A 27996-nucleotide genomic window follows, 5' to 3' on the forward strand; every position below is an offset into this window, starting at 1 on the left:
TCAGTAGCTGATTGCCATTAACAATGGATGCCTAAACATGACTCTGGGCCACTAATTTACCAGTGGTCTCTTTACAGGGGCACACAAGCATTAGTCAAAGATTAAGAGTGGATTGTAAGAAGTGATAAGCTGAATGACTGATAAATATAGGCAATCCTTATGCCAGAAGGGCTTGGTTATATATTTCACAACAGAGAAGAAGAATGAATACATTTGATGAAGTTTGACCCAGGTTGGTGAGATGATCTGTTTCAAGAATTGAAGAAAGGAAAGGAGTCATGTCTGCTCTCAATGGTGGGTGTTTGTTGAATGAATGCATGAATGGTGACCGGTGCAATGGGGGTTCTCCCAGGGGAATACCTAGATTTACACGGATGCTCTTTCTCAGTAGTAGCCTTTGGATGAGGAAAGGAAATTGAGTTGGGAGACACCCCAAATCGAGGTGTTTTAGCCTGAAAGGGTGGAGGGAGCAAGGGAGCACATGAAGCACGTGAACTTGGCCTCTTCACAAGGGTCTTCACAATAGTCGGTAATCACAAGCTCCATTTCCTGATTGGTGGTTCCTGTGGGAGGGCGAGAGGGGGCTTCATTCCCTGCTGATAAAGTTTAATGTCAAGTGTAGACTGATTTGCTTCACCTCCAGGCCCTTTTTTCTCAACTTAGGGATGGCGGCTGTTTTTCTGTCAGACACAAGCTTCACTTAATGACTGTGTAGTTTATTACCCAGTAGGTCATATCCTGTATATTTTAAGAACAAACACCTCGGAGACTGTGACTTGGTAGAAGGAGATGACATGTGTCACTGCTGTTATTTTCACTAGAGCCTGGTGGAAAAACTAATTACCTTTGCATCTGGGCAAATTCAGAGGTCAGTTTACCACTACTATATCACTACATGACAGGGAACATGGGTAATTAGGTGGGATGTGTAACCTGGATATTCCATGGATCTCATTACATCTTATTTAGAAAGGCTATAATTTGATTGGTGGAAAATTAAGGCATCTTCTCATGGGTCATTTTATCTTTCTGCAATAATAATTCTTGGCTTGATTAAAAATTGATCCAGTGTCTTCAAGTGAATTTATTATTGCTGCAATCTATCAATCACCCCCAGACAGATAATCTAGTTCCCATCTTTATCTGATTTGAAAAATCTGTCACTTATTATGTGTTGTTTTTTTCAATCATTTAAATTGATAGCATTCTAGGAAGGCATTTGCAACCACAGGTTTCTTGGAGAAGAGCTTGCAGACAGTGTGGGTACATCCTTTTATGGTAAAGGATTGGATAACCTGTCAATTTTAATAAATCGATTTTGAATTGGTCTATGGCAACATTTTCGTTATTAAAAATGATCAAACCCCATTTTGGGGAGTGTGAACAATTGAAGGATAGTGGAAAGGCAGATTTGCTTCCCCCTTCCTCCATGTCTCTCATAGCTTCTTTTGTTGAATCAGAAGACTTTAGTTCATTTATAGATTCTGAGACTGTAAAACTTACACTGAACTCTGGAGAGTCAACCAAAATATGTTTAATGAGCCTTGAGAAATTGCACAATATCAGTCCATATGCAAGAAAAACATTTTGAGTTGATTCAGGCATTCAAAGAGACGTGATAAATTTAATTATTCACATTTTTATAGGTTCTTTCAGCTCATAGTACAACTCCAAATAAAAGATACAAAACTCTCAAACATCAAATGTATTTTTAAACCTTACCTTAATAATAATAGCATCTTTTATTAAGTGTTTACTGCATGTTGGTAAGAATATAAGTACTTTATGTGGGTTAGTTTATTTAGGTATCATAGCAACTCTATGGGTGGGGTTTAGGCATACAGAGGTTAAGTAATTTCCTGAGGTCACACAGGTGGTAAGTAAGCAGTGACACCAAGATTTGAAACTTGGTAGTCTGATTCCAGAGTGTGTTGAGTTTCATTACTTTGCTGTCTCCTGCCTTAGAATTCTCTCTCTGAGGCCAGATAGAAGGAAGGGTAAAGCCAACAATTTCAATAGACCAATTAATAGATATTTATTGAAGGTTGCTATAAATGGGGCACCATTCCTGGGTACTTGAGAGATACAAGATTTTCACTGATATAAATAATACAAATAAGAAAAGATAACCATGCGACAATCTCCTATAAGTGACATTTATCCCAAACTGACAACAGGATTGGAGCTATAGAGATTCAGAGAATCAACAATTGTATGTCCAGCAATTCTGGAATGCTTCACCGAGGAGGAGGGGTTTGCATTGTGTCTTGACAAAAATTCTTTGCTTGACCAAACATTAGTGAGGCTCTTAAATCTTCTTTCCCTAAGTCCATCTGTACACTTCCTTGTAAAATCAAGTTGAACAAAAACTCTGCTAAATTGGTTTAGCCAAAACCCCCCACCCTCCATATCTAATCCCCTTCCATATCTGATTGGGTTCCTTTACCATCCCCAGGTAATGTCTGATCACCCTGGCATCTATCTTCAGCAAGAGTCTTGTTTAGCCAGAGTCTCCCTTACCCTTGATGTCTCCTCTTAGTCATTTTCCATCCACCAACCCCCACCCTGCTCCTCGGCTATAAATTCTGAGTTGCCCACACTGTGTTCAGAATTGAGCCCAGCTCTATACTGAGCTATCTTTTCCCTATAGTAATAGTCTTGAATGAATTCTTTTAATCACTTTAACTCTGATTTTTCTTTGACAGTCTTGAGGAACACATGGAATCTAGTGAGGCATAGAGAAGGTAAATGGCTTTCCAGACGGGAGGGATGGTGTAAACAAGCATGGGAATGGGAAGGGGTCAGATGATTTGGAGGATGGATGCCTGGAGCAGAAGACATGGTACTCCGTAGGATGAAATGCCGATAGGTCATCAGGGGCCAGATGTGTAAACCCCGAGCACTCAGGTGAGGGGAATGGAATTTGTATAAGAGGCTGGGGCAAGACATTGGAAGCTTTGGCACAAAAGTGGAATGTAAGCAAAGTAGACCCTAAGAGGGTGAGTTGAACATAGAACAGACTGTAGGGCAGACCCATGATGTCGGAGGGCTGCTGGCTGACCACCTGCAAAAGGCAGACAATTTTTAGCCTTGGGGAAAGGTGGAGCGAAGGTCTTCAAAAGCGTCAGACTGAGGCTGATACAATTTGGCCTTACACCATGGCCTGGGAAACTGGTACCCTCTGTTCTGCCTCAGTTCCCCACAACTGCTCAACCCCACCTTCTGTCCATCACCTCCCATTCTGATTTCTCCCTCAGCTCGGATGTGCCTGGTTATCTCCTCACCCAGCCTGATCTCAGCCTCATGACTTGGCATTCCTTTCCTCGGCCACTTCCTTGGCTGGCTTCAGCCTCGACCAGAACCTGCCTCCATCTGTTACTCAGGTTTATTGAGACTCATGGCTCACAAGCCTGGCTGCCTCCCCTGGCTGCGTGCCTCATCAAGCCCAGCAGGAGCCAGGGAGACCAGCGAGGAGGTAATGGCCTTAAAAATAAATCATGAGAGTGTTGTGAGGGGCCTTCAATAGATCTTGATAGTGGGGCTTTAGAGGAAGGAACAGTTGCCATAAGTATGTAAGAAGTTATTTATTAAAAAATTTAAGGCCAGGCACAGTGGCTCATGGCTGTTATCCTAGCACTTTGGGAGGCTGAGGTGGGTGGATCACTTGAGCTCAGGAGTTTGAGACCAGCCTGGGTAACATGGTGAAACCCCATCTCTACAAAACATACACAAATTAGCTGGACGTGGTGGTGTGTGCCTATAATTCCAGCTACTTGGCAGGTTGAGGCAGGAGGATTGCTTGAGCCCAGGAGGTTGAGACTGCTGTGAGCCCAGATTGCGCCACTGCACTCCAGCCTGGGTGACAAAATGAGACCCTGTCTCAAACAAACAAACAAATGTACATCACTATTAGGATCCTAGGTAGATAGAGCTCTCTCTGATTAATGTATACTTTCATCTGATTTATAGTTTTTTTTTTTTTTTTTTTTGAGACAGAGTCTCGCTCTGTAGCCCAGGCTGGAGTGTAGTGGTGCAATCTCAGCTCACTGCAACCTCCGCCTCCCGGGTTCAAGCGATTCTCCTGCCTCAGCCTCCTGAGTAGCTGGGACTACAGGTGTGTGCCACCATGCCTGGCTAACTTTTTGTATTTTTAATATAGACGGTGTTTCACCGTGTTAGCCAGGATGGTCTCGATCTCCTGACCTCATGATCTGCCCACCTTGGCCTCCCAAAGTGCTGGGATTACAGGCGTGAGCCACCATGCACAGCCTATAGCTTTTATTTAAGAAAAAAAGGAAATAAAAGTTACATGCATTCACACGATTATTTAACAAATTATTATTGAGAGCCTAGATTCCAATAATAGGAATTCTACATCTTTACTTCTGGACGACTGAAAAAACAAAACCTTAAGTTTTATAGCATCTTGTACTTTACATAGCGTTTTCAAATATATTCACTCGACGCTGAGGACATCTCTGTTGGTAGGTGCTGTTATTTCATTTTTTTCAAGGGAAGAAAATAAAATTTGAAACAGTTTCCACTCAGAATGCCACCCACTAACGAACGGTGGGGTCTGAAACCTGGGCTTCCGACTTGCTGAGCAGCGCTCTCCACCGTAATACGGCTGCCTGCGGAACCGGCTGACCGGAAGTGTGGCTGTGGGTGGTTTACCGCCAGACTGTGATGGTGGCGGGGCACGGCTGCGTGACTGGTGAGTTGGTGAGGACGGGGCAGTGGACTGGGAGCAAGGCAGGCCCTGCCAGGGGGACTGACAGGCTCCAAGGTGATCTTCCTAGGAATGTCCACAGAGTGTGGGACCTGGCCTTGGCTGGGTTGGGTCCATTGTGTGGCTGCAATATAATCAAGTGGAGGACAGCTGTGATGAGACTGGGGGATGCTGCTGTTGGGGGAGTGTGCCCAGACCCCAGGGCAGCAAGGCCAGCTCTAGTCACACGGATTAATCAGGCAAGGCCCCTCATCTGCTGTTGAACATGGGCGCGTGGAAGCACCGGCTTAGGAACAGGCTGGCGCCGAGACGGATGCTTGAACGCTTCTATGGAGGCTGGAGGGCTGGGCTGGGGACGGCAAGGGCCCGGGTGCTGAGCTGAGCACTGACAGGCTTTGCTTCCCTTTGTGTTTTCTCACTTCTGTGCGCGTTAGGCGGGGTCCGGGCATTTACCTTGTTTTGGTTTGGTGATAATTCCCTCTCACAATCTGCAGCGACTGTTTTCTGTTTCATGGGCTTCCGGGTAAGTTGCTTGGTGGATGACCTGGTGTATTTAATTTACTGGGCTCTGACTCTGCAGAGGGCGCTAAATGCTATGGGCTACGGTGTTCAGAACTGGGTTCTGGAGCCCCCAGGAATCCCAGCAAGTGTGTTGCTACCAGAATTCCTTCTCTTCCTGTTCTTTTTGTTTCTGATTCCTAAGCCCCTTCAAGTCACATAGAGGAGGCTATTTGCCAAATTGTGTGAGCCCATTAGTATGTCAATCATGATACCTTCCAAGTGCTTGCCGCTTTGTACATTCCAAAACACTTTCATGCAAAGCAACCCTTGGAATGGTTTTAGAATTCCTGTTATATAGATTGGAAGATATTTTTATTTCCATTTCATACATTGGGAAACTGAGGCTCAAAGGCCATAACACAGGAGAGGCATAGAAAAAGTCTCGCTCCAGGCCTCTTGACATGTGAGCAAGTGCCCTGCCGGACATATGTGCTTCCTCCCTGGATTTTCATTAATTTTTTTGGAAACTTGGTATTGTCATTGAGTGAGCTGAGGTGGTGAGGGAGGCTTACTCTTGTCCTTTAACATTAGCTTTTCAATAATGCTGAAGATGATGATGATAATGACAAATCGCCTATAAGATATGCCCATTCAGAAGTCTCTTGTGTAGTTCCCAGCATTTCAAGGAATTCATTAAAAACTGACATGAACCCCAGGTGACCTCAGGTCTCCTAATGTGCCAATCATTCATCTAAGGAAACAGAACTAAATTACTTGTACCTGAAAGAAAGCCTTTTGCAAAACAAGAGTATATACGCACTCTCACCGGAGCCCAGCAGTTACATTCAACGGTGGCAGTTATTATAAATGGCTATATTCCTACGGCAACCCTGGAGAAAGAAAGAAAATTGTGCAACCAATTTAATGAGGTGTGTGTGTAAGAGGGATGGTTAGCAATTTGTCTTTAACAATCTTGTTATACAGCAAGAGGCTCTAAGGGGAAAGAGAGAAAGAGAGAGACCGGGAGTCAATGCTCTATTTTCTAACAATTCTCAAGAGAGAGGAGATAAAGACCAAGAGAATTCACTGAGCAAATGTTTTCTTTGTGGCAACAAATGCAGGCTTCGTGCTTGCAGAACCACTAGGCACTATGTAACGAGAAGGGTTATAAATCTGGATGTAACGAAGGTTTCACCCCAGTGGTAATAGAGTTAGAGGGTGAAAGGTTGCATCTTGTTCAACCTTCTCTGGAATCGTTTTCTATAATGCTGGCAAGTAATTTTGTGGCATTTCTGGATGCTTAACTGAATAAAAAGAAATACTTATTTGGTACTGGAACCACTATTAGCAAGGTGGGCAGTTGAGAATCTACCTAAGTATCCAGTAATGTTAAAATGAAATGGCAGAAAACCATTTTAATTGCATCATCTAGTGCCTCTAGACATGTGGGCACTTGTGTTCCCGGTGGTGACACACAATATGGAGAGATATTTAATTGGGCACTTTTGAAAAGAGAGCCCCTCTCAACAGGGACTACATCTTGGGCTTGTGCTTAGAAGACATTCAGCTCAAGAGCTGCCCTGGTGCACATTTCCTCTGCCCCTTTGGTTGCCTTTAGGTTCATCAAGTTCTAATTAGTTATTCTTTAGTTAATTCAGAAATGAAACCTTTATTGAGCAATTACTATGTTTCTGGCCTTATTCTAGATTCAATGATGTTTAGAAAGATTTTTACAACACAGTTTGCTGTTAGTCTAGACTTTTTGCTCCCTAGTGAAAGGGAACTTTTGGCAGCATCAAGAGGTAATTCAGTAGGATTCTATCTCTTCAACTTCATAATCTCCATTGTTTCCCAAAACCAATTCTAATATTAAAAACAATACAATGTTTTATCAACGTTAAGATGCCCTCTATTGTTAAAAAAAACTGTTATTTTATGTACCACTTGCATAAAGAAAAAATATCTAAGATGGGAGGTCTAATAGGAGACCTCTTCATAGGCAGGACACCAAAGAGCTACGCACTCGGTGAAAGGGGTAAGGAAAATTCTCCAGCAGGGCCAGCAAGGAAACTTGCATGTCTCAGCCTTGGGCCTCTGCAGAGGGAAGAAAATACAAGTCTCTGTGAGAATCTGAGCCATAATCTAATACAGATGGAGCATCCTTAATCTGAAAATTCAAAATCCTAAATTCTCCAAAATCCAAAACTTCTTGAGCTCCAACATGATACCACACGAGGCAAATTCTACACCGGACGTCACACAATAGGCTCCAGTCAAAATGTTATCAAAACTGTTTTGTGTACAAAACTATTAAAAATAATGCAGAAAATTACCTTCACACTGTGTGTCTAAGGTGTATAGGAAATGAATTTTATGTTTAGATTTGAGTCCCACTCCCAAGAGATCTCATTATGTATGTACAAATATTCCAGAATCTGAAAAAATCTGCAAAGCAAAACACTCCTGGTCCCAAGCATTTTGGAAAAGGGACACTCAACCTGCCAACCTGTAGTCACACAGGTCTAAAGTCTGAATTTACACCATTGGTGGGGTCCAATAATTCTCAAGCAGAGAAATCAATTTCCAGTGGGCTTAAGTAAGTTTGGCAGAAACAAATGCAGAATCCTTTCTGGAAGAATTCGACTTCATTTCAAGCCCACAGATTATAAAAACGTATTGATTACGTGATACACTCTGATTTTAGGGATTATGAAAATGTGAGAATAATGTGCATCTAAGAATTGATGAACAGTGATAGTAATAATAATGCTTTTCATGACTAGTATATTAATATAATTTTATGTAATTATTATTCTTTCCATTTGCTATGGACAGTGAAATTTTTCTGAATCTTCTGTAAACTGTGAATAAAAGCATTTTAAGAATTTTCTTGGCTGGGTATGGTGGCTCACACCTGTTATCCCAGCATTTTGGGAGGCTGAGGTGGGAGGATTGCTTGAGCTCAGGAGTTCAAGACCAGCCTGGGCAACATAGCAAGACCTCCTCTCTACAAAAAACAAAACACAATAAAACAAAGCCCCCCAATCCCCCAAACTTTCCTATGTTTATTGATCTGTAATCAACAAGCTTGCTATTCATATTCAGTTCTAAGAAAGTCCCATAGTCTCTCCCCAAATTAGATTGCCCTCCAAAGACCTTCCTATAAAGAAATGAGGGTACCCCAGCTGAAACCCAGTTCTAACCGACTTAAACAAAAAAAGGAAATATATGGTTCATGTATCCACATAAGTCCAGGGGTTAGATATGGCTGGATCCAGACACTCAAGTGTTCTCATCCAGACCTTGTAATTGCTCATCTCTTTTTTCTGCTTTCTCCGGTGCTGTGCTGGATTCAGAGCTTGGCTCTACATGAGGCTTTCAGCACCCTTGGGCCTAAATCTTCATCCCTGTTTGCAGTCTCAGGAGAAAGCAAGGTTCTCTTTTCCACTTCCATCAAAGACCTCAGAATTGAGTCTCATTGTTTGGTTGGATCATGTGTCCATCTCTGGTACAGGAAGATCATGAGTTGGATCCTGTGTCCATTTCTGGCATATGAAGAAGGTTTTGGGTACCCCCAAGTCATAGGGACTGAGAGTGGAGAGGAGTGATCCTCACCAGGGGTGCAATAATCAGAACAAGGGGACTTGGATGCTAATCAAGATGGAAGTCATGAGTTGTATGCTGGAAACAGTGGATGTCCTCTACATGTCCTCCTTGTCCTGGAGGAGGTACAGTTCACTTGTGGGCATACCCACAATGAGGTAAAATGACAACTCAAGATGTCAACTGAAATTAAAGATATCTCTGTGAGAGATGTGACAAGGTTCTATGTAACAGATGCCACAAGAAGTACCACTGTAAGAGCTAAAAGAGGAAGAAGTGCCTGGACTAGGGTAACTGGGAACACCTTGTGGAAGAATTTGACAGGAGGAGAGGATGTGGTGAAGGATGAGGGAGAACCAGAAGGAAAAGAGTAAGAACAATGGTGTGCGGAGGGATAAGCAAGATCATGGTATCCTAACTCTGGAAAATTGGTTGACTTTGTGTGTGCCTAGTGTTCTGTGGACTCCTCAGCTTGTGCTCAACCCCTGCTTCTATTCCTGGACAGAGGACATACTCTCCAGTGAACAGAAGAACTCCCTCAGTCTGGAGAAGTCCACTGGGATGAAAAGATTCCTAGATCTAATTCTGATCCTGTCTCAAACTAGCCGTGTGACTGGAGCAAGGCATTTAATTTCTTTTGGCTTCTGCTACCTTATTGGAAAATAGTAATGATTTACCTGTCACATTTGTCTCACAGGGTTGTTGTGAGAACCCAGAGTAGTGTTTGTGAAGGTGATTTGAAACATAAAGTTCTGACGCAAATGTAAAGCATTGTCTATGGCACACAGACTAGTGTTGGTCTAATTGAAAGCTTGTACTCTGCTTGTTTCACCTTTTATTTTTGTTAGGGACTTTCTATAGATTGTGAAAATAAGCAATAAATTTATGTGGGTTACTAGAATTATGAAAATGGAATTTCTGATCCTGAATTAACCAGCTTTCCCCTGAGCCAGTTTATCTACGGCAGGTAGGGTATCTCTATGCTGTAATAAAATTTCCTTCCTTCCTTCCTTCCTTCCTTCCTTCCTTCCTTCCTTCCTTCCTTCCTTCCTTCCATTCATCCAATATTTGTTGAGTTGGGCACATTACTTAGCATATACGTAGAATGGAATTAAGACAATTAACTTAGAATCGCTTTGCATATTATTGCTTTATTTGTTTTCAAAGTCTGAGAACAATCAAAAGCACAGTACATTATCTTATTGTTACAACTAAAAAGAGTCTTGTAGGGCTTGAAGATCACCATCATGGGCAGTAATTATTGTTGCACTACCAGTGCACTACCAATGTAGTGCAATAATAATATGCTAGTTATCAGAGAGTTGTGATTGGTGAACTGCAAGAAAATTACCTTTCCTTGTTAAAAAAAAAACCCAAAACCAAACCCTCGTATCAGAAAATTGGTTTTCCTGAATCTAAGAATCTTGCTTTGGGCTCCCCATTTGATTGGGCACAAGCTTTCAGAGATTTAGTTTCTCCTCCTTCTTCCTTAAGACATAGTCTTTGAAGAAAGGATAAATTTTTAAAATGCCTATTTAGAAAGATCATCCATGCCTAGAACCTTGATGGCATAATAGCAAGGTAATTTTTTTTTTTTTTTTTTTTTGAGACGGAGTCTCGCTCTGTCACCCAGGCTGGAGTGCAGTGGTGCGATCTCGGCTCACTGCAAGCTCACCTCCCAGGTTCATGCCATTCTCCTGCCTCAGCCTCCCAGCTGGGACTACAGGCACCCACCACCACGCCCGGCTAATGTTTTGTATTTTTTAGTAGAGATGGAGTTTCACTGTGTTAGCAAGGTCATATTTACCAAGCTTGTCATGACTGAGGAAATTCTTGGCAGAACAAGTCTCCATAGAAATTGTCTAAATATGGCAAACTCCTAAGGAAATGTCTCCCGTTGGGGAAAAGGAGTGTCTAACTGGTCCCACATGTTTTCCAGGGGATCTCTTTCCCCCTCTGTCACTTTCTCCAGGCAGTTCTTATCTTTTGCGATGTAAAGGAAAGAAACATGATTTTAGGGAGGGCCTAAATATTAAGCATCCTTTCCCCTGATTCATTCTAATGCAATTGTATGCAGATATGAGGGGATTTTTTTGGGTTATATCTGTCACTTGGAATTTCTCCATTAATGGAGTCTCTGAAGACATTTTAGGAATGAATAATATCTTTTATCTCATTGGAATATGCATGGGATTCCCATCAAGTCTGTCCTTGTGTGACTCTGAGTAGACAGCCAGTAAGATTTCCTCTTTCAAGTCTCTGTCAGGAATAAATACTCAGTTCTTCAGTAGTGCCCAGATGAAAACCTGATAGTGGAGGCTTTGCTCTGAAAGCAGACTGTGGCCCAGCTGTTCTGTGGTTTATGAATTTTTTAGCAAGGCTGAGGCTGGTCGCTGAACAAGCATTGGCTGAGTTCAGGCATACGCTGGGGGTCTGATGACTTCAAGTAGGGGTTAGAAAAATCTGGCTGTGTATTCTGGGTTTCCCCTCTGAGGTTCGGAGGTTTGTTCAACTTTGGTTCAAAGTCAAGCTCAGAAAATGGGGAATGGGGGAAGCCACTGGCCCAGCAACTTGCAGTGACTCTCCTGCAAGCAGTGTGGAAAAGGAGCCACACTGAGGTCAGGTCAATGCCCATTTGGAGAGGGATGCTGCTGACTGGGCCACTCTGAAAATCCTCTCTCCAGTGGAAAAACAAGTACCTGGGGCTCTGCCTCCAGCAAAGGCTGGCTTTCTGTGTCAAATCTCACTTCAGCTGTGCTAAAGGAAGGAGTGGGGAGAATCAGAGTTTGGGCCAATGGGGAGAGAATAAGGACCTAACCGTTAAGAGAAGGTGGCACTTCGAAGACCCAAACTTACCCAGAAATTGAATAACTTTTCTTCTCTGTATTTTACCTTCTTGACAAGGCATCTGAGGGTTGAAGGTCATATTTTTTATACCTTGCCTCAATTTCTTTAAGCAGTTGTAACATCATTGGGCCAAAGGGAAATACTCATTGGCTAGATGTCATTACCATTTAGTGGCCATTGGGAAGACAGGCTGGGAGCCAGGAATTAAGATACATTCTTCCTACCAGCGAGTTCTGACATTTGAGTCTGTGGAAAACAAAGTGAAGTGAGAATAACCTCTTCCAATGAGAACACATGGACACAGGGAGGGGAACAACACACACTGGGGCCTGTCGGGGGTCGGGGAAGGAAGGAGAGCATCAGGATAAATAGCTAATGCATGCTGGGCTTAATACCTAGGTGATGGGTTGATAGGTGCAGCAAACCACTATGGCACACGTTTACCTGTGTAACAAACCTGCACGTCCTGCACAGGTTTCCCAGAACTTAAAATGAAATTTTAAAAAATAACGTATTCCTCAATCTAGTGATGATTGGGGAAATAATTGACCTATCTGATTATGTGGATACTCAAAATAAACCATCCCTATCAAATGACCCCTCAGGCCTGGCTGAGTCTGTTTGACTCACAGCATTCAAGCTTCTCCCCTCTGATCTCGGGGAGATTTAATATGCTCATGCTAGCAGCCTAATTCAAGCAGACCAGGTGAATTAGGATCTCAGTGGGTGGGGCCTAGACAGTGACGTCAAAGCTCCCCAGGTGAATCCAGTGAGCAGCCAGTGCTAATAATCATTCATCTACTGTATCCCAATCAGCAAGGTATTGTGGCTGCCACATCATCATTTTGTGTAGGGAGGCCAGGGTGCTGATGCAGGGATGAAAGTTGCTCTTTTTTCTTGGATTGTCAGGAAAGGCCTGGCTGCTCAAGTAACATTTGAACACGGACATGAAGGAAGTGAGCAAGGGGTGGAGGAAAGGGGTGGAGGAAAGGGGTGGAGGAGGAGGGAAGAGGATTCCAGGCAGCGTTACACCCACCCCACAACAGAAGGCTAGTTTCTGAAGGTGTGTGGGTGGGAGACAGGGGAGGCATAATGGTATTTATCTTGCTACCATCACACTGGTTCAGATAGAATCAGACAGGCGCCTTGAATGCCTCATCAATGTGGAAAAAATCTGATGGTTAGAAATAACCCTTCGGTTAAAAATAACCTGAATCCTATGGTAATTATTAAATAATATGAAAGCACAACTACAGTTCCGTTTAGTTTAAACAGAGTGAGGTTTCACAGAATCTAGCATCATAGGTGCATTTAAAAAGACAAGGAAAGAAAATACGTGAGTGTACAAAAAACAGGGTTGCTAGTAGGGAAAGAATAACGTACTCGCTTATTTGTTTGGCTTTGATCTGCGTATGGTAGAAGCCTGGGGAAGGAGCCCATGGGCAGGTCACGGTTATGCTTTTGAAGGTGACCAGTGGTACTGACATGACCCAAGTGTGACTGCTTCATCGTCCTGGGCCTAATTAGGTAAGCAAGGGGTTCACAGTGCAGATTATTTCATTTATTAGGTTCGAATGAAACCTGTGGGAATTGGTAAGATGTGATCTTAAATTAACATACTTCCTGCAGCACCTGCGATGTGGTATTATCAGAATTAATTAAACAGTCTGAAATCGCAGGCGCGGTGTCAGGCTGGGATAACCAGATGCCTGAGAGCCTGCATGTCTGGGCTGGGTCTCCAAACGCTTGAGCAGTGTCTTTCTCTCCCTCTCCCCACATCCTGACGGGTCTCGCTGTGGAGCCTTTGAAGCTTCTGTAGACGTGGTGGGGGATTCTATGGGGATGCATATAAACAAGTAAACCAGTGTTGCTCAAATTTTAATACTTTTCTCGGTATTGCCCGGGATGCCAATGATTTTCTGAAGGGGTAGATGGAAAGCCTCAGAGAGCTGGCTTTGTTTTTCTCTCCTCTGAGGCTTCGATCAGTTTTATTTGGTGGAACAATAGGAATCCATCTTTTAAAGTCTCTTTCTCCCCCATCTGCTTGCAAAAGGCGCTGTTACCCAGATGAAATGCATGTGTAGAAGCATACAGTAAAATGCTGTGTCTCTGTGTGTGTGTGTATGAGCTTGTGTGCTGTTCTTTTCTGGTGGTTGTGCCAATTAGTAACATGTAGATTTCAATAGACCAACAGAATTTGTCACTAGAGTTCTTTTGATCTGTAAGCCAGTTTCCATGGAACATGGACAGTGGCCCAGTTGTGGCCTGGCTTAGTGGCTAAAATGCAACTTACATTGTGTGTAGGCATTTGCCATGAAAAAAGTCCCCTCTATACTTAATTAATGAATCCGATGCATTTCAGCAGCAAGGAAAGGGCTGGGTCAAGGATCAAATGCCTTCAGACAATAGTGTGCAGAGAGGGGCTGGTTTAGAGGCCCCAGTGCGGTTAGTTTTCTCAAGGCATCCAGGAGCAGAGGGAAGTCTGTTGCACCCAGTCAGTTGTAGAAGCATCATAGGCAGAAGGGTGAGGTCTAGAAGGCAACTAAAATAACGATGACTCATACCATATTGACATATTCACCTGTACCTTCATTGAAAAGTTGCTAATTTTTCAAGACCCAAAATTTTAAACAGTCTCTCTCCAGGTAAGTTCACTTGTTTCCCCTTCTCTGCCCTTGAACACAATCCACACTGCTACAACAGCTGTCTTCTCTTTGCATTGCGATTAGTTTCCTCTTCATTGGATTATAATCTCCTTGGACACAGTGTCTTATTCAAGTTTGTAATTCTAGCATTGAATCTGGGACAGTCTTTTGAACATGTGCTTACTGATGGTTAAGTTGTGTTTTTCAAAAAGAAAGTAGTTGAAGGAGGGATGAGAGGGCAGGAATGAAAAAGGCAACTTATACAAGGTTACTACCTAGCCAGGAGTGGGACAGAGAGGCACACCAAGGTCATTAGGCTCTTTTCACTCCATCACATTGCCAAGAAATAATTAGAACCTTAGCATACTGAAAACTTTTTATTTATTTATTTTTTTTAGACAAGATCTTGCTGTGTCACTTGACCACGGCTTGTAATGGTTAATATTGGGTGTCAACTTGACTGGATTGAAGGATACAAAGTGTTGTTCCTGGGTGTGTCTATGAGGGTGTTGCCAAAGGAGATTAACATTTGAGTCAGTGGACTGGGAAAGGCAGATCCACCTTCAATCTTGGTGGGCGCCATCTAATCAGCTGCCAGCATGGCCAGAATAAAAGCAGGCAGAAGAACGTGGAAAGACTAGACTGGCTAAGCCTCCTGGTCTGCATCTTTCTCCCATGCTGGATGCTTCCTGCCCTTGAACATGGGACTCCAAGTTCTACTCTTGGTCCTTCAACTACAGACTGAAGGCTGCACTGTAGGCTTCCCTACTTTTGAGATTTTGGGACTCTGACCGGCTTCTGTGCCCCTCAGCTTGCAGATGGCCTATTGTGGGACCTCACCTTGTGATCATGTGAGTCAACACTCCTTAATAAACTCCCCTTTATATATACATCTATCCTATTAGTTCTGTCACACTAGAGATCCCTGGCTAATACACAGCTTCTTGCAACTTTGAACTCCTGGGCTTAAGTGATCCTCCCACCTCAGCCTCTCCAGTAGCTGCCATGCCCAGCTGATTTTGAATTTTTTGTAGAGATAGTGTCTATGTTGCCCAGGCTGGTCTCATACAACTACCTCAAGTGATCCTCTGGCCCTGGTCTCCTATAAAAACTTTTATGGGAGTGCTATCTTCCTATTCAGTTGGCTCGTACACTTTACAAGTCACTTTACTTGTGAAAGATTGAGCAAAAAATGATTTTGCTTACATTAATGATGAAAAAGGCATTGATTTTTTTTCTATGTAGTTTTGTCTGCTGAAGGAAATGGAGATTATACATTTGCCTATTGTATTTTCTTTTTTATGTTGTTCTTCATAGAGCCACTCATCAGAGACCCCATACACTTAGCTAGTATCTCTAGGCAAGGCCTTATGCCTTATATAATTCCTCCTTTTCCCTTTCCTTCAAAATGGATGAGTCCTGGGTGCCCGTCTCTGAGCACCCTGCCCTCTGCTGGTGAACCTTCCATGCCTTCTTGTTCCACAGATGCATGTTTATGTTCTCAGGCTGCTCTCTTGAGTGTTATGGGGTTGGATGGGGGACCTCAGGCTCCAGAACTCTTTTGGAACTTTCTGAGTACAATTTTTAGGTCCAGTAATTACTAGCAGAGACTCTGAGCTGTCAGTGGTTAGAGTCCAATCATTTTGACAGAAGAAATTGTAAGTCAGAGTCGTTCTGTGAGATTATAATAGAATTGTAGAGCTAGAAGGTAGCTTAGAAATGGTCCAATCTTTTCTTTCATGGTTATAGAAATTGACGCTATAGAAAGTTACACAACACGGGACAGAGACAGGTCTAGAATCGGGCTTTCTGATTGCTAGCTCATTACTTTCTCTACTACATGCACCAAAGGCAAGTTTTCACTCCTTTGTTGCTATTTTCTGTCTTAGTTCCTGATGGGGTCCCTTAACTCCTCACTTCTTTGGGAAAGAAATTCACCCCCCAATTAAAAAAAAGACAACATATAAAAGTAAATATTCATTTTATAAATATGCATATCAATTAAATATACATTTATTTTAAATACATGTGTTAATTATGTTACATCAGATCACAATTAACAGCAAGTGATGATTTGCATATAATCAAGCTTGTATATTAATCAGTTGTCAATCTCAAATGCCATTTTTCTTCATAGAGCACCTTCCATGGAGGCATATCAGGGCCAGGGATTTGAAGCAAGTGATCCCCCTACATATTTGAGAGTGTGCTGCTCTGTAGCTCTGTGCTACTTATCTTCTGTCTTTGGCCCCCTGGAATCCCATTTTTAGTCCTTCAGTTAGGTCTGGTTGTTCTCAGCCTTCCCTCCTAGAATCTTTTTGAAGGAGGAGAGAAGTTTCTGTTTGTCTGGTTGCTCTTGCTCTGTTCTAAAGGATTTTCTAGACCATGGAGGCTGTTTACTAGGTTACAGGTGTCCCACTGAGAGGGACAGGAAAGAAGAGAACTAGTAAGTGTTTCAACTGGAAAGAAACTTATAAATACTAACACAAATCCTTCACTTAGTAGATAAGTAAGCTAAGGCCCACAGATGTTAAGTATCTTCCATAGGAAGTCTAACCAAAGTCTTTTGAATCTCTAACCTCTTCCTGAAGTCATCAGCATCCATTTTGCTCCTGCAGACCTCCGCCTCCCTTACTTGCCTGTAGCACTTATTAAGATGCAACTTACGTGGCATGCTTGTCACGTGTAACTTGCTCCTCTCAAGAGATGGTTTTCTAACTCTTCTGTAACCACCAAAGTATACAGTAAGTGCACCTGGTATGCAGTAAGTGCTCAATACATATAGCCATAAAGAGTTTGTTGATTGGAAGGGTGTGAATTCATTTGGGAAATAAATGGAAATGTCTCTTCTTTATGGATATCATGGTTTAAAGCACCTAAGTGCATTTTTCTTTCAGAAAACCAGTGAATCGTTTCTTGGGAGGGCAGAGGGGACAAAGAGTGGACCTGTCGCTTTATCACTAGGCTCTCCTCTTTCCTTATGCTGGGCCTGGTTCCAAAAGTAATTAATCAACAAGGACAACTTCTTTGTCCCCCTTGCCCTTTGGTCTGCGGTATGAAAAATGTTATTTCAGCTAGAGGAATTGTGATCACTTAGCATTTCCTCTACATTTGGTCCCTGATCTCATTGTAAGACAGCAGGAAAAGGTTTTTCATTTGATTTCTTGACTAATTACAGTTAGACATTTCCCACTTTTACATTATTCTAGTGAAAATATTCCACTTCAGCATGCCCATCTCTGCTCTCAGACGAAACATTTTTCCTTAAGAAGCATTCATTTAAAAAAATAGTTTATAAGGAAGAACCAACATGTTATAAAACAACGGAGAAGATGGTGATATTAATCCTTTAGAGCAACACTGCATATACCTGGGGTGTCACTACCTTTTGCCATATGAAAAATCCACAGGAGAAACGTGTGGCCCTTTGAATATTTATGGCCTATTTACCATTTGCAGGGTAATAAACTAGGCAATGTGATAGATTAGACATAGTTTTTGTCCCTAAGAGTTTGTAGTATACTAGAAAAACTGAAACATGGTGCCTGAAGGCATTTCTGTCTTTTTAGGAAAATGATTTGTATTCATTTATATATTCAGCACACTTTTATTTGGCACCTATTATGAAAGATACAGTACTGGAATTAGCCAGCTAGGGGCCCTGCCCTTGTGATGTATACTTTGTGGTAAGTTGTAAACGTGAGGGTGGGTCCACAGGCCAAGACTTCAGAGGAAGTCTATGCTTTGACCTACCTTCATAACAATTATGTGTATACACATAATAACTGTATATAAACTATAAAGGACAAAACCGAAAAGACATAGCGAATCCCAGAAACAAGACAAGTAATAGAGCAGCTACCTAAGGTGGTGAGCAGAGCTAAATGAAACCCAGGCCTGGTTAGCCCCAGGTTGAGGAGCAAATAGTGTTGGCTGAGAATTAGGCTCCAACCGGGACTAAAAACACTTACTGGGAGGAAGGGAGGTTGGATCTAGGCTTACTGCTTGAAACCAAAGGCAAGGCTGTGGGTCTCTCTACTCCAACACCTAGTTGTAAAAGAAGAATAGAAAAAAACATACCACTTGCTGCTGTTAGGGCTATAGCTTAAAAGGATCTGCAAACTTAGGGAAGATTGGGGTCTAAGACAGAGCCTTGTGATCCTGAACCAAATCAAGCTGCTCTTTGGGTGATTTGGGGGTATCTGTCATCATCAAGGGGCAATGACCTCAAACTGCTTTGATCAAACCAGGTTCTGGACAGTGGCTATAGGAGGCCAGATGCAGGAAAACACAGAGATGGGTAAAGTCAGAGAAGGGGCGTGAAGACAAAGCAATCACAAAAATTCTCTCACTTAAATAAGCCTCAAAAGCTAAATTTCAAACCATATGAAGAAACTAAAGGCTAAGGAAGATAGCCAACAAAACCAACAATCAGAAAATTAACTAATTCAAATAAAATTAACTTTTTATTATAGCTGGTACTGTTTATATAAGTATTTTGGGAAGGCTTACACGTTAATTAGGGGGAAAATAATAGCCATCAAAATTTAAGATATTTTACAAGAAGAATAGGCAGAAACAAAACCATTTGAATATGAAAAAGAATCAGTTCCAAAATTAGAAATAAATCTTAAAAGTAAAAATATTATCATCAGAATAAGACACTCACTAGTTGAGATAAACTCTAGATAAAACAGGTGATGGAATGCTTAGTGTATTGAAAGTCAACACAGAGCTGGTCACCTAGAATGTAGCAAAGAGAAATAAAAAGTTAGTATTAAAATAAAGCAAAAATGGCAAACAGGCATATGGAAAGATGCTCAACATCATTAATTATCAGAGAAATGCAAATCAAAATACAATGAGATATTGTCTCACCCCAGTTACAATGGCTTATATCCAAAAGACAGGCAATAACAAATGCTGGCAAGGATGTGGAGAAAAGGGAGCCCTCATACAATGTTGGTGAGAATGTAAATTAGTACAACCACTATGGTGAACAGTTTGGAGGTTCCTCAAAAAACTAAAAATAGGTATGATCCAGCAATCTCAATGTTGGGTAGATACCCCAAAGAAAGGAAATCACTATATGGAAGAGATAGCTGCACTGCCATGTTTGTTGCAGCACTGTTCACAATAGGTAAGATTTGGAAGCAACCTAAGTGTTCATCGACAGATGAATGGATAAAGAAAATGTGGTACATATACACAATGGAATACTATTCAGCCATAAAAAAGAATGAGGTCCTGTCATTTGCAACAACATGGATGGAAATGAAGATCATTATGTTAAGTGAAATAACCCAGGCACAGAAAGACAAACACTGTATGTTCTTATTTGCGGGATCTAAAAATCAAAACAATCAAACTCATGGAGATAGAGAGTTGAAGGATGGTTACCAGAGGATGGGAAGGGTAGCAGAGGTCTGCGGGGAGGAAGTGGGGATGGCTAATGAGTACAAAAATTACTTAGAATGAATGAATAAGACCTATCACTTGATAGCACAACAGGGTGATTAATAACTTAATTGTACATTTAAAAGTAACTGAAAGAGTATAATTGATTGTTTGTAACACGATGGATAAGTGCTTGAGGAGATAGATACCCCATTCTCTATGGTGTGCTTATTTCACATTGCATACCTGTGTCAAAACAGCTCATGTACTCCATAAATATATACACCTACTATATACCCACAAAAATTAAAAATAAAAAATTAAATAAAGCAGTGAAGAGACAGCCATGAAAAATGGCTGGAGATGTATTAGTTAATACATCTAATAAGACTTCCCAAAGAAGAGAATGGAAGGAATAGCGGAGAAGCAACATTTGAATAGATAATAGCTGATAATTTCCAGTATTGAAAAAAGACAAAAATTCTCAGATCAAAATATACTCTGAGAATGAAACTATATAAATAAATATAAACCCACATCTAGACACATCCTGTTCAATCTGCAGAACATTAAGGATTTAAAGAAGGTTTTAGAACTGAAAACATTATTAAATTTAATGGAAGTATAATCAAGCTAAAGGAACATTTCTCAACAGAAAAATTAGGTGCCGGAATACACATTATATCCAAAGTGCTTGGTGAAAATATCTGTCCTTCTATAATTTTATATACAGCTAAAATATCACTCAAAGTGAAAACAAAACAAAACATTTTCAGATATACAAAGGCTCAGGAAATTTGATACATGGAGACCTACTCAAGGTTGTACTTTAGTATAGTCAAAAGCAAACAAAAACTGAACCAGAGGAAAGACATAGCTTGGAAGACACAGTAATTGTGTTAGACATAGGATGAAAGAAACATTGATATAATATACTGGTAAATTTACTTATCTGTTGGTTAAAATACTCATTTTATGCACATGTGTTTAAAACAAGTCAAAGTAGAATAACAGACAGTAATTAAATATGAGGGTGTTTCAATGGGTAGTTCAGCAAGCTAAGGTCCGTGTGTTTGCGAAGCAGTTAAAAATTGGTTAGAAAGTAATAGATGAGCTTGGAATAAAAACCAACTGAAACAAAACCAATATCCAGATGTTAGAAACCCAAAGTAAAAGCCAAACAGAAATGTTGAAAACAGAGAGATGGGAAAAAGTATATATTAAGCAAATACTAACTAAAAGAAATCTTATATAGCAATATTAATAACAGACAATGTAGAATTTCAGGATACATTAATAAGTGTAATCATGGACACTGAATAATAATAGAAGAAACAATCTACCAAGAAGTCATGATCATCATAAATCCGTATTGCCTAACAATATAGTCTCAAAATATATGAAGCAAAGTCTTTTTTAAAGAACATCAAAGAACTCTTTTATTTTTAAAGAGTCAACCTAAAGAAAGTAGAGTAAATAATATAATAAGGATAAGAGCATAAGTTGATAAAATTGGAAATAAGATCATCAGCAAAATAAAATTATTTGGAGGGTGAACCCAAGCTCAATGGTACCTATAACCTTCTTTGAAGACACCTCTAAAAAAAGAAAGATTAAAAAGTATAAATACATAGTAAAAAGAATTGTTACTACAGATAGAGTAGAAGTTTAAATAAGAGAATACTGTGAATAACTTTATGGTAGTGAATTACAGACTTAGACAAACAATTTTCTAGAAAAATGTAAATAATATTTTATTTAAAAAGTGATAATAAGCCCCAATAAACCAATAACCATTATGAGTATCTCTTCTTCTTTTTTAAAAACAAAGATGCATTTTATTGCTTTTCTGAGCAACTGGGAACTTTCTCATAGAGAGACATCACTGTGTAGTGATGTACCACTTTGTGAATAAAATGAGACCTGCAGGTAAAAGAAGGTAACTTTTATGCACATTGGACTAAATGTAGCTGGGATTAATAGCCCAGATAAAGCAAAACCAAAAGGGAACAATGCAGTTTGATAAAAAATTGCTGGGCATATGTCTCAGGAATACTGTGTAGCATTTTGACTCCCGTCTTCTTTAGAGATAAGATGTCCACTTTTATAAGAAATACCTGGATTTTTCTCCACTCCACCAAACACATTTTGTTAATATGAGTTGAATTTTGAGGCAATGGGTTTGGGTCTTAATGAGATCAAGAATACATCACGGGGTTAAGAAAGCATAGCAAACTGCCTGTTGTTACTAAAATATTTATATAGATGTCATGTGTCCACTCTAAAATATTATAAGGAAATTTTCTATTCCTCTCCCCTTTTACCCATTTCCTCTTTTGGCTCCTTCCTTCTCCTCTCCTAGATTTTGAGTATCTCTTCTTAATAAGTACAAGGCGTAAACAGTTCCAGAGGTGGATATTTACATGCACTTAAGGACTGGATAATCTTTACCTTACACATAGATTTCAGAGGATAATAAATGAAGGAATGCTGTTGAATGCATTTGGAGCTCATTGTTAGCAGCAATGGACAAGGGCATAACAAGGGAAATAATTGTGGAATTTTAGAGCATTTTAGAATAGGAATATAGAAGCATTTCTCCAAATGGAACTTAAGAGTCTTTAAAAAATGATGATTATGATTAGGTAAGGTTTATATTTGATATGAAAATGAGTTAATCATCAGAATATTAATGTAATATATTCTAAGACAAAAGGATAAAGGCATTTAATCTGCTCCATGGATACAGAAAAATTATTCAGTTAATTCAATGCTCATTTATGGTAAGAATTCTAAGATAATTAGCAAAAGAGGGATCCTCCTTAACCTCATAAAGACTATGTTTATAAAACTCACAGCACACCTAATATATAATGGAAAAACTTTAGAAGTAGCTTTATCAACAACGTTAACAAGAAGTCAATGATATCCACTCTCTTGCTTCTATCAACATTGTACTTAAGTCATAGCCAATGCAATAAAGCAAGAAAATTTAAAAAAGATAAAAGAACTGTAAAGGAAGAAATAAAACTAGCTTGTTTCCAGGCAACATGACCGCCTACATCAAAAACTCAAGAAATATGCAGACAATTTTCAGAAATAATACTAGAGTTAAGCAAAGTTGTTGAATCACAGATCGATACACAAAATCAGTAGAATGGAATTTCAGAAGTACACACACGTATGTACAGATATACATGTATACATACATATATAATGTTATATATGTATTAAATTAATAAGTACTTATTCATGATATGTGCTTTCTATTTATAATATGTGCTTTTCCTAAATTCCATTCTTTCCTTATCTTAGAGCTAAGATATTATGGCTTCATTTAAAGGCAATGCAGAAGAAATGTAAGTGCTATAAAACTAAACAAGTACTATGATAGACAGTTCTGGAGTGAAGATCAAAAGTCAAACTATTAGAAGAGGCCATTGCAGAGATCATTACACAGTAGTTTTGTGATCACTAATCACAAAATATAATAGGAAAAAGCTCCCAGTTACAAAAGCAGCATGAATGAGTTAGGAACGTATATAACAACAAAAAAAGACTTCTATGAAGAATTTTACTAAACATTATTTAAGGACATAAGAGACCTGAATAAATGTAGAATTATACCATGTTCCTGAATGAGAAGGTTAAGTACCATAGAGATAGTACTTTACTCCAAGTTAATCTATAAATTCAATGCTAGTACAATAAAAATTTCGTCTGGATTTTGTATGGAACTTGACAATCTGATTTCAAAATTTATAAGGAATAGTGAATTGGCAAAGACAACTGGCAAAGAAAATTTAAAAAGAATAAAGTGGGAAGTCATGGCCTATTGGATGTCAAGAACAAATAGATCAGTGGAATAGAATGAGGAACTCAGAACAGATTCACATGTATAGTTACTTGATGTTTAATAGACATGGTATTTTAAATCACTGGGGAAAGATACTCAGATAATGATGCAAAGGCAAGTGGTCATCCATATTGTAAAAAGTAAAATTAAATCTCTATATCATATATTTAAAAATGTGAAAGACGAATCTGCAAATATTTTAAAAGAAAATACTTGACAATATATTTTTGGCTTTGAGGTTTGGAAGTGTCACTTATACTGGACAGAAAGCACATATCATAAATAAGTACTTACTAATTTAATACATGTATAACATTATGTGTGTATACATGTAAATATTTACGTGTGTGTATTCTTTTAAATAAGGACATATACAATGAATATATTGATAAGGTAAGTTGCAGACTGGAAGAATATATTTGCAATGCATAAGCTTTGAAGAATTTGCATCCTTTGAAACAGATGCAGAAAACTATGATACTCTGGATCTGGATTCCTGGGTCTGAATCTTGGCTCTATCACTTATTAACAGTGTGTGACCTTAGGCATGTTATTTAACCTCTCTTAACCTCAATTTATTTTCACTTTAAAAAATGTGGATAACAACCTTGACTGTGTTGTAGGGTTGTTTTGAGGATTAAATCAGTTAATGTGCATGAAACTGGAGGGTAGTGTCTTGCATTTAGTGAACACCTCCAAAATCTTAGCCATTATTAATAATATTATCCAGAATATATAAAAATTACTTAAATTGGCCAGGCGCGGTGGCTTACGCCTGTAATCCCAGTACTTTGGGAGGCCGAGGTGGGCGGATCACGAGGTCAGGAGATCGAGACCATCATGGCTGACATGGTGAAACCCCATCTCTACTAAAAATACAAAAAATTAGCCGGGCATGGTGGTGGGCGCCTGTAGTCCCAGCTACTTGGGAGGCTGAGGCAGGATAATGGTGTGAACCCGGGAGGCGGAGGTTGCATTGAGCCGAGATTGGGCCACTGCACTCCAGCCCGGGTGACAGAGCAAGACTCCGTCTCAAAAAAAAAAAAAAAAATTACTTAAATTAATAAGACTAACAGTCCAATAGAAAAGGAGTAATAGGTATGAATTAATAATAGAGGAATTTGATATGGCTAATAAACATATAAAAGATGCCCAATGTCCCTGGTAATTACACAAATGCAAACTAAAACAATGGTAAAGTGTAAATTTATACCCATGAGGTGAAAAAATCTAGAAGTGTGACCTTGCAAAGGTGTGGGACCACGTGAACTCTCACACACTATTGGTCTGAGTGTAAATTTTCAAAATGGGTGCCACTAATTAAGAGAGTAATTTGGTGATGTCTAGTAAATCTGAAAATACACATACCTTACAACTCAGAGCTTCCATTGCTGAGAATGTACTATAGAGAATTTCTTGTAAATATACATAAGGATATGTGTAAGAATACTTACTGAAGTTTTGTGTGTAACAGCGAAGAACTCGAAGCAACTTAAATGCCCATCAAGAGGGGACTAGATAAATAAATTGTGTATTCATGAAATAAAACACAGAATTCTTCACTAAAATGAAGTAGTGCTACATTTGTCTCATGAATAAATCTCAAAACTTTAAGATAGATTTTTTAAAAAAGTAAATTAAGCTGGGCTTGGTGGCTCATTCCTGTAATCCCAGCACTTTGGGTGAGCAAGGTGAGAAGATCACTTGAGTCCAGGAGTCTGAGACCAGTCTGAGCAACAGTGAGACCTCATTTCTACAGAAAATAAAAAAACTTACCTGGGCATGGTGGTGTCCATTTGTAGTTCCAGTTACTAGGGAAGTTGAGGTGGGAGGATCGCTTGAGGCCAGGAGGTTGAGGCTGAAGTGAACCATGATCACACCCATGCACTCCAGCCAGGGAAAGAGAGTGAGACCCTGTCTCTGAAAACAAACAAACAAACAAACAAACAAAAAACGAGAAAAACCAAGATAAAGAAAGACATAGACAGTTTTGATACATTTGTATATAATTTTAAAGCATGCAAAACAATATTATATAGTATTTATGGATACATAAATAAGCAGTAAAAGTAAGGAAGAATTTGTGAGAATGATAAACATCAAATTCAAGATACTGGTTTTCTCTTAGGAGGGCAGGAAAGGAATGTGTGGATATGGGTACCCAGGTGGTTTGAAATACATCTATAATTTTTTATTCATTTGAAATAAAATGAAAAATTCTGAAACAAATATGGCAGAGTACAAATGTTTATTCAAGCTGTGGGGAGGGAGTGAGAACTGTGCCATTGTTCTCTACATTTTCCTGTGTGTTTAAAATATTTCATAAAATGAAAATAAAGGAAAAAATATTGGAAATTCACACAAATATATATGTATACATGCACATTTGTTTTTAAAGATTCTTCTCCTTTAAAACTTATAGCATACTCACTAAAGGCTAAATGGTACAAACAGATATGTTTGAGTTTGGTATCTTTACACTCACATAATGTTAAGCTCATATAGAATTTCAGTTGATTAAGAATAAAACTAACAGCTGTTTAAGCATTTTTTTCTTACTTTGAGTCATTATTCCTTTAAAAATAATTAGCCAATCTCACTAATCAGGTTGATCACAAACGAAAAGAAAATGTATTTATTTTGTGATGGTCTTCAGGACCCAGGAACTGAGCCATGAGCTCATGATGTTGTCTTTCAAGGCGATCAAATTGAATGAAGAATAATACATCTTCAGCATTTAATATTTCCATGTTGAAACAGGGAAAGAATTATGAAGAGAGCTGGGGTAAGAGAGAAGGGGCCCCAGTAACCTGGGATGGGGTGAAATGACAAGAACACTGTCCCGGCACCAGTAGGTACCAGGTCCCAAATCTGTTCTTCCCAGTGTGTCCCACTTCTCTTTTCCAAATGGAGGGTTAGCTGTGTGATCTCAGTAGTCCCTCAAGGCTCTCGAATTCTGTGATTTTGCCAACCTAACGTGTTCTTTTCTGTGCCATTTTCAAAGGGAGACATAATTTGATACAATTATATGCCTACCTTTAGTTGTATGTTTAATTTCAGTGTATTTACCTTACTGCTTAAGGTTCTCCTCACTCCTCACTTCTGTCTGCTGTTCATTTTGAACTCAGCCCGGGACACATATGTGACACATTAAACTAAATACATATGTGATTTGTCCTTGGCTAACCTTGGTGTTCTCATAACCCTCCATTTTCCTATGGAGTGAATAAGAGTTGGTGTGATCTTAAAAAAATGGCTGCCAAGTGCACCTGCATTAGCTCTCTAACTACTTGGTTCTTAGTGAGTTAGGATGTAAATTATGTGCATTTTTGAGAACTTAGCTCTATAAATAGACCCCAACCTATTTTACAACCAAAGGTATTTTAGGATAAATGAAGTACATCTCTGAAATTGTTAAAGAGGCTCCTCCTCTATAATAAAAACTAAAAATAAAATCCATCTAATCTAATATTAGGGTTACATTAGAAATGGGCCAACATGCCTAAAATTATATATATAAATGCATATTGATGATGGTGATGATGACCCTTTTGTTCTGAGCTATTAGAAGTAAATGGCATATAAAGTAATTAAAATAACAGAATTCTGGGAAGTGGTGGAATGAGAAATTAAAAACTGATATAATTTTACATCCTTGTGGAAATCCATTGATCATAATTAGCACATAAGCTAAATCAGAATAAATGGGTAGATTCTAAAGTACGAGCATAATATCATAGGTTATGGATAATGTATTTTCTTTTTATTTAATGGATATATGATTGGTTCTCAAATGCTGTTCAACTGGTAATGGAAATGGGTTTCCCTTAAAAGCCTTTTTTCTAAGCTTTCATAGCACCAAGACATTATGGTTTTCTTCAAATGTGATGTAGACCCCATGTACATGCTGTCAACTTAAACAGGTACTAGAATAGACAGCTCTGGGGTGAAGGGCAAGGGTCAAACAATCAGAGGTGGCCATCTATTGCAGAGATCATCAAACAGGCATGGCATCAATGGATTCAGGCAAGAATGTTAGAAATTAATCAGCTCAGCTCTCAGTGTTTAGCCAGGCTGATTATATATGCCCTGGAATGTGAGCATGCGATGACAGGCCTGAGAAACTAAAGTAATAAGAGTCCATTCCCAACAAAGGCCGGGAAGACGGATCAATTTGCAATATTCTTTTCTGCACCCATGCAACAAAGCAGAAACATGAAAGCAGAACACTAAGGGATGCTCCCTATGAACTGGACAAATCAATAAACATCAGTGGTAAAGAAAAAAAGTTTCTCATTCTCTTGGGTACCCTGAGGGCTTTTCCATCTCAGGAAAGTGATGAGTGGTGGTGGCCTCTGTCATGTTCCCTTCACCTACACGGTGTCGTCTCCTGCCGTCTCAAGGTGAACACTGCTAAG

General features: G+C 39.7%; 1 long non-coding RNA gene across 2 annotated transcripts in view, besides 1 other annotated feature; it reads left to right on the forward strand.

The window, feature by feature from the left end:
- Positions 4398-4898: an enhancer, noted in NCBI's record as "H3K4me1 hESC enhancer chr2:66016952-66017452 (GRCh37/hg19 assembly coordinates)". NCBI's record gives its function as "activates a minimal SCP1, AML or CMV promoter by ChIP-STARR-seq in naive and primed H9 embryonic stem cells {active_cell/tissue: H9 hESC(naive and primed)}" and the evidence as "EXISTENCE:reporter gene assay evidence [ECO:0000049][PMID:30033119]".
- The window catches only part of LINC02934 (long intergenic non-protein coding RNA 2934), a 298411-nt gene continuing 275069 nt past the window's right edge, over positions 4655-27996 (forward strand). For both annotated transcript variants that reach the window (NR_187140.1, NR_187141.1), the window contains exon 1: positions 4655-4714. This is a non-coding gene — a long non-coding RNA (long intergenic non-protein coding RNA 2934). The remainder of the gene's footprint in view (positions 4715-27996) is intronic.

The sequence above is a fragment of the Homo sapiens genome, chromosome 2, assembly GCF_000001405.40.
Source record: "Homo sapiens chromosome 2, GRCh38.p14 Primary Assembly".
Lineage (NCBI taxonomy): Eukaryota > Metazoa > Chordata > Mammalia > Primates > Hominidae > Homo > Homo sapiens.